Source organism: Homo sapiens, chromosome 1 (genome assembly GCF_000001405.40).
Source record: "Homo sapiens chromosome 1, GRCh38.p14 Primary Assembly".
Classification (NCBI taxonomy): Eukaryota; Metazoa; Chordata; class Mammalia; order Primates; family Hominidae; genus Homo; species Homo sapiens.
Window position 1 is genome coordinate 175,945,974 of NC_000001.11, and position 7,939 is coordinate 175,953,912.

General features: G+C 37.3%; 1 protein-coding gene across 14 annotated transcripts in view; it reads right to left on the reverse strand.

Moving 5' to 3' along the window:
* The window catches only part of COP1 (COP1 E3 ubiquitin ligase), a 262,456-nt gene that overhangs the window by 1,143 nt on the left and 253,374 nt on the right, over positions 1 to 7,939 (reverse strand). For all 14 annotated transcript variants that reach the window (XM_047427793.1, XM_047427798.1, NM_001286644.2 and 11 more), the window contains one exon: positions 1,222 to 1,266. In XM_047427793.1, coding sequence (XP_047283749.1) covers positions 1,222 to 1,266 — 45 coding nt within the window. The remainder of the gene's footprint in view (positions 1 to 1,221; positions 1,267 to 7,939) is intronic.

Sequence of the window (7,939 nt, forward strand, 5' to 3'; positions counted from 1 at the left end):
ATCCTATGAGAACCTATGTAGTTTTGAGCTCTTGTAGGTATGCTGGCAATCCCAATTGGTGTAAAGGATAAACTTTTTGAAGAGTAAGGTGTAGCTTTTCAATTCATGACTTGACATGAGAGTAAGAGAGAGACTGAGAGAGTATAGAAAGCCACTTAAATCAGATATTCCAAGACCTTCTACCATCTTGCTTGAGGCTTCCAGAACATAACAAACACTGATCAGTTAAAAAACCTCGTTTTCATTTAAGCTCTCAGTGGTTCTCTAAAGAGGCTTTTCAAACAGAGAAACTGGCTGCCTAAAAAAGGAGACTACCATGTAAATTAGTGCAGTTCTTCTGCGTTAAGTTTGCTCATTTCACCTCTGTAGAATGTTTAGGCTAGGATTTGCTGCCTTGGCTGATGGATTATTCTCCACTTATGATGAGTCTAAGGAAGCTATGGCAAAATTAATGCTAAGTGGCAGGAGAAACACACACGTTATGTTAAAAAACTTTCAATATTTCTACCAAATCAGCAGAGAATATGTGGAAAAAACAGGTACTCTCAGAAACACGTACTCCACCAAAAGGGTGTTTTGTTTAGAAAGTTCACTGCTTATCTCAGGATTTATTTATCCAATGTATCATGTACAAGTGCTATATATGCATCAATCAATTTTCTTTCCTTTTTTTATGGCTAGGCTTCCTTGAATCACATCTATCAATTTTCAACTGAACACTAAAATAACTTTTTCTCCCCTTTGACAACTGAGGAAAAACCTACTTCTTAGGGGACAGAAGAAAGAGAACCATGAGGAAGAGAATAAAATATGACCAAGATATGTTTAAATCTGGTGATGTCTAAGCATCTTCTGCTATATCTTGCATCTCCTGCTATATTTTGGGCTCTATCTACTGAAAGCCCTGTGGGAGAGTTGTACTGGCATAACAGAAGCTAAACTGTGCTTAGCCCACAGTGAATGTTCACTAGTCTTTATCTGTTTTTCAAACTGACCATCTATTAATCCATCCAGCATCCATACAACCTCAATAAGCACTATCATCTTCTCCACAGATGCAAGCTACCTATTCTTTTCCCTTAAATCAAGCCATTTGTAAGGAGACACAGACCCATGATTTGGGATGATCTCTAAGGCTCAGTACAATGGTGTATTTCTATAATCCTGTTTCAGTCTAAAAATGGGCCTGAGTTTAAAATGGAGATATAGTAAATAGCTTACCTTAATTGTACCCTGACTGTTAGCAGCAATCAGCACATTGGACTCCTAGAAAAGAACAAGAGCTTTTAAAGTATAGAGAAGGATTTCCTGGAGAGCAATCCAAGAGATAATTTCCTCTTCATCCTTCTTTCTTCACTTCAATTCCTAAGACAATTGAATCTAATATGAAGATACAATTTTTTTTTTTTTTTTTTGAGACGGAGTCTTGCTCTGTTGCCCAGGCTGGAGTGCAATGGCGCGATCTTGGCTCACCACAACCTCCACTTCCTGGGTTCAAGCGATTCTCCTGCCTCAGCCTCCCGAGTAGCTGGGATTACAGGCATGCGCCACCAGCCCAGGTAATTTTTGTATTTTTAGTAGAGACGGGGATTCTCCATGTTGGTCAGGCTGGTCTCGAACTCCCAACCTCAGGTGATCTGCCCACCTCGGCCTCCCAAAGTGCTGGGATTACAGGCGTGAGCCACTGTGCCCAGTCGAAGAGACAATTTTAACATGTTTTTAACTGTATTTTAAACTTAAGATCCCATATTTTGAAGTGTAAGTTTTAATAAAAGAATAAAGTTAGAAGCAGAGTAGGACACTTTTGAATGTAAACAAAAATAAAAGGGAAAAAGATTGTCAATGGAAGAAAAGCCAAAAGAAACAAAGACTGAAATAAAATGAAAAAAAGAGTAAGTTGAGAAAAACAAAGTGAATAATTGCTTTCCCAGCACACTCCTTCTTCATTCATTTTCTCTCATAAAATACCAGTAATTGATGTAAAACCTGCCAACATCCTTGGCACAAATCTCTATGGATGGACATTTGGTATTAGGAAAACAAGAAAATGTGAATATTCATTTGGGAAAAAGGACTATCTTTCTTTTTAATTATTCTATCATTCAGCACATGCATTTTTAATAACCTTGGTAATTACTTGGATGAGAATATATGTGGTGAAGTATTTTTCTATTCTAAGCCAAGGAAAAAACATTTCTCTGGAAAGTAGGAAGAGTGGGAAAAGAAATGGACATGACTGAGTTTACTAGAGAGAATCTCAGAAAGTAGGAAGAATGGAGACATGCCTCCTGTAGGAAACTGGGCATCTAAAGGGCTCTGGAACTTGGATGTGTTGGAGTCTTTTGCTTTCCATGGTAGGCAGCTAAGAGGTGGTAAACAGACTTAAAATGTCATAGAGGTCAGGCCAGGTGGCAGAGAGAAAAACGAAGTCCAAATAACAGCTATGAGAAACAGATAAAGTGGTCTAATTTGAATGTAGGATAGGATCTACCTAAATATCCTTCAGGCTTCATGACAAAGCAATAATAAGAACAAAGAAAACTCTTGGCTTGTATGTTAGAAAAGTTACTTCAGCTAAGCTGAGTTAAACTTTAGTTTCTTTGACATATGCAAGTTGCGCTTTACAAACTCATACATTTCCATTTTTAAATTTTCCCTTTCATTTCTAATAAAGCTGCTCTTCAGAAATGTGCATCTTGTTACTAATGGCATACAAGAAAATAATAATGTCTTCCACTATTCCAGAATTTTTAATGGAATCAGAATACTCTTTGGAATTAGTCAGCAGCATCAAAGATTATAGGTGTATCAAGAAGAAATAAAGACATGTGGGCATGGGAATTGTTGATCTTTTCCTAGCTGAGGATTTTCCTTAAATTAGCAAATGTTCTTAAAAATAGTAACATGGGGGCTGGGCGCAGTGGCTCACACCTGTAATCCCAGCACTTTGGGAGGCAGAGGTGGGCAGATCATGAGGTCAGAAGATCGAGACCATCCTGGCTAATATGGTGTAATCCTGTCTCTACTAAAATACAAAAAATTAGCTTGGCGTGGTGGCGTGTGCCCGTAGTCCCAGCTAGGCAGGAGGCTGAGGCAGGGGAAGTGCTTGAACCTGGGAGGCACAGGTTGCAGTGAGCAAAGATTGCACCACTGCACTCCAGCCTGGCTGGAGAGACTCCAGCAAGGCTCCGTCTCAAAAAAAAAAAAAAAAAAAAAAAATGAACATGGGTAATACAATACTCACTATTAGAATTAACTTTGGAATATTATGGGCTATTTCTGGGACTTGAGGTATACAGAATCAACACTTCCATATTCGGGGTGGGGGGCTGGGGTGAGGGGAAAGGAAGATGAATTTGGGATTTATTTACTCTTTTAGTGACCTGAATGTAGAAAGTGGTTGGAGTAGGTTCTGGATGTCCTTTAGGAATATAATAACTTACCCTGAGTTGGTTAAGAGACAGCATTTCTATGCTGGCCTCAGAAAACAGCAGAAAGAGGCACTGTGTGGTGCAATATGGATTTCTTTCTAGCAGGAATTTTAAACAAGTTGTATGGTATCAGAACTGCCACTGGTGACCCACAAATAATTCTCCTGTAAACATCATCCAGAAAAGCAGTTGAAAATCTCACTGATCAACCTAGTTGCCATTCAAGGAGGGGACAGACTCTGGTCTGCAAGAAAGCTACTGCCAAGAGCCACCACCACTAAATGCTGCAGCCATCATGAACTGCTCCCTTTGCTATGAGAACAAATAATGACAGGACAATGAAAAATTTAAAGCCGAAAGCTCCATCTCCTTCTGCCATTTTGGGTCTAGTCACCTTTTAATATAGAGAAGGAATGCAGAGACCTGGTGAAGATGAGGATTCACTTGGGGATAAGCAGGGAGTCTACTTCTGGCAGTTACAGGGATTATAAATTACATAATTGAAACTTCTGACTTCTGATGGGAGCAAAACTAGGAAAATTGTAGTATATTATCTTACAGTATGAAAAATTAGCCCCAATATAAATAAGATAATCTAGTTGGATTACCACACAAGAGGAGTTTAAAATATGTACAATTACCACTCTAAACCCAAGAAGGACATCTGATAACTATCCAACATGAATAAACACTGTCTTACTGTAACCTCAGGATTACTATGGCATTAATATATGATGTCATATTAGATGCTATCCAAGGGTTAACTCTTAACACTATTTCCTGCAGAAACAGATAAATACTTTATGTGTTAAAAAAAAAAAAAGTCAACATACGAATTGAATGCCAGTTTGAATGGTCTTTTAGGACTGAAATTTAATGAAAGAAAAATAATGGCTTCATATCTCAGTACATCCTCTCTCCCCAAAGGTAGTATGATTACAAAAAAAGTTATTTAGAATTAAACTATCAGATAGCTAGATATTGGCTTAAGATAAATTATTTTTTTTTTGCATGCAACAGAAAAATAAGACCAGATATTTTACTTCTAGCATAGAGATGTGGAAGTGGTACGTACAAGGTTATTAATGTAAGTTTTTAATGGTTCTTGATTGTATTTTGGATGACTGGTAATTCCTAGTTGTAGCTGTGGTCTGCTAGGGCCTACTATAAATAAGTTCTAGCTCAACAGGTTATTTTTTACTTGCTAAATAAAATAAAAGTGTGAGTCAGTAATTCTTATTATTTTCTCCCTCTTTTTTGGAAACCGGCAGTTTTACTGCAGAACTCTCCTCAAGGCTAAGCTAATAAAATACCCAATATTTTTTTCTGACTATGAAGAGACTAAGAAAAGACAACAGAAAAATTAGCAAGTCTTTTATAAAAACAGAAGACATATAAACATGCACCAACTTGCTTAAGTCAGTGATACTACACTAACTTATACCAAAACATTTTTAGTAGCACACGTAGGCTAGTGAAGAAAACCTGCATCTACTAAAATAGTTTTATCTTTATTGACTTGCTTAAAAAGGGTCATTATAGACAATACATTAAAAATCTGGATGGCGCTGTGGGTCACACCTGTAATCCCAGCACTTTGGGAGGCCAAGGCAGGCGGATCACCTGAGGTCGGGAGTTTGAGACCAGCCTGACCAACATGGAGAAACCCCATCTCTACTAAAAATACAAAAAAAATTAGCCAGGCGTGGTGGCACATGCCTGTAATCCCAGCTACTTGGGAGGCTGAGACAGGAGAATCGCCTGAACCCGGGAGGTGGAGGCTATGGTGAGCCAAGATCATGCCACTGCACTACAGCCTGGCCAACAAGAGCAAAACTCCATCTCAAAAATAAATAAATAAATAAATATATAAAATATAATAAAATAAAATCCTGACAAGTTGAGAAATGAACAGTTATTCACTCAGCAACTGGTGGATTTATTCATAGAGATAGATGTAACTGATTTTAAATGTAAATTAATTTTAGTATAGGTATAAGTATATACAATGTATTTAAATATAAGATACGTGAATATATATATATATATATATATATAAAAACTTCCATTTTTGGCCATAACAGAGTAAACAGACTAAATTTGTTTTCCTACCATATACAACTGGAAAACTGAAAAAAATATGTAAGATACCACTGGACCACAGGCAGTACAGGACTGTGATCTTTGAGAGAAAAGAAACAAATGAAGTGAGTCCTATAATCACCCTGGTTTTCTACTGAGAGGCAATTTCTGGACCACAAAGCAGGTAAGGAGATGGACATAACAACAGATGAGACAAGTGAGGAATAAAACATCAAAAAATTTGGTAACACCTCCAAAATTACAACTGAAGCAGACAGGAAAAAAGCATGAGAGGAAAAAGAGATTAGCATCTCAGTGACCTATTGGGCAATATGCAACCTAATAAATGTATAATTGGAGTCCCAAAGAAGGAAGAGAAAAAAATATATGAAAACGTTAAGACTAAAATGTTTCAAATTTGTAAACTATAAACCCACAAATCTAAGAAGCTTAACAATTTCTGGCAGAAAGAAGCACAACACCACATCAAGGCACACCACAGTTACACTGCTGAAGACAAGAAACAGAGAAAATCTGTAGAAATGCCAAAGAAACAAAGACACATTACATAAAGAGAAAGATCGCCAATTTCCCATCAGCAAGAATGCAAGCCAGAAGACAATAGGACAGCATCTTTAAGATGACAAACAAGAGGCCAGGCGCAGTGGCTCACGCCTGTAATCCCAGCACTTTGGGAGGCCATGGCAGGCGGATCGCCTGAGGTCAGGAGTTTGAGAGCAGCCTGGCCAACATGGTGAAACCCCATCTCTACTAAAAATACAAAAATTAGCTGGGCGTGGTGGCAGGAGCCTGTAATCCCAGCTACTCGGGAGGCTGAGGTGGGAGAATCGCTTGAACCTGCGAGGCAGAGGTTGCAGTGAGCCAAGATGGCACCATTGCACTCCATCCTGGGCGACAAGAGCAAGACTTCATCTCAAAAAAAAAAAAAAAAAGATGATAAACAAGAAAGCCATCCATTGAGATACACAAAATTAAAGTCAAAATAAAGATATTTTCAGATAAAATAAAGCTGAGATAATTTTTCACAAACAGACCTGCGCTGTAAGAAATTGTTAAAGGAAGTTCTTCAGGATGAAGGAATATTATACTACATGAAAACTCTGATCTAAAAAAGGGATAAGGTGGGCATGGTAGCTCACACCTGCAATGCCAGCACTTTGGGAGGCTGAGGTAGAAGGATCATCTGAGCTCAGGAGTTTGAGACCAGTCTGGGCAACAGAGTAATACCTTGTTGCTACTAAAAATAAAAAAAAACATTAACCAGGCATGGTGATGCATGCATGCCTCTAGTCCCAGCTACTCCGGAGGCTGAAGCGGGAGGATCTCTTGAGCCTAGGAGTTTGAGGCTGCAGTGAGCTATGGTTGCACCACTGCACTCCAGCTTGGGAAACAAAGCAAGACTCTGTCTCAATAAATAAATAAGGGATGAATATTGTGAGAAATGGTGACTAGGTAGATAAATATAAAAGATATTTGATTTCTTGTTTTTAAGTTTTTTTAAAAGATAATTTCCTATTTTAAGGAAAAATAATAACAGTGCTTTAAGGTGATTATAACACAAACACAAGTAAATATACATGACAACAAAAGCACAAATAATAAAAGGGGAGAATAGAAGTATAATGTTATAAGATTCTTCCATTATAAAGTGGTATCATATAATCTGAAGACAGACTGTAAAAAGTTAAACATATTATAAACTTTAGAGAAACCATTAAAAAATACAAGAAACAGTATATACCTAATAAGCTAGTAAAGGAGAAAAAATATTATAAAAATACTCAAAAAAAAGAAAGGAAATGAGGAACATAGGAACTTAGAGAAGACAAAAAATATGACAGACATAAAACCAACTGTATTGATAATTAAGTATAAGGGGTCTAAATATTATAATTAAAAGGCAGAGATTATAAGACTGGATAAAACAGCAAGATTCAACTCTATGCTGTCCCTAAGAAATACACTTTAGGCTGGGCGCGGTGGCTCATGCCTGTAATTCCAGCACTTTGGGAGGCTGAGGTGGGAGGATTGCTTGAGACTAGGGGTTTGAGATCAGCTTGAGCAACAAAGTGAGACCCTGTCTTAAAAAAATAAAAAAAGGAAACACTTTAAACATAAAAATACAGATAAGATACACCACGCAAACATTAATCGTAAGAAAGCTGGAATGGCTATATCAGAAAAAGTAGACTTCAGGACAAGAAATTTGACCAGCGATAAAGACAGGTATTTCATAATTAAATAAGGGTCAACTTATAAAAAAAAAAAAAAACTCCTATATACATATATATCTAAAACAAAGCCAAAACTGACAAAACTAAATAGAATAAATTGACTCATGTTTGGAACTTTTAACAGTCACCTTTCAATAATTCAAAGACTAAGTAGAGAGAAAATCAATAACC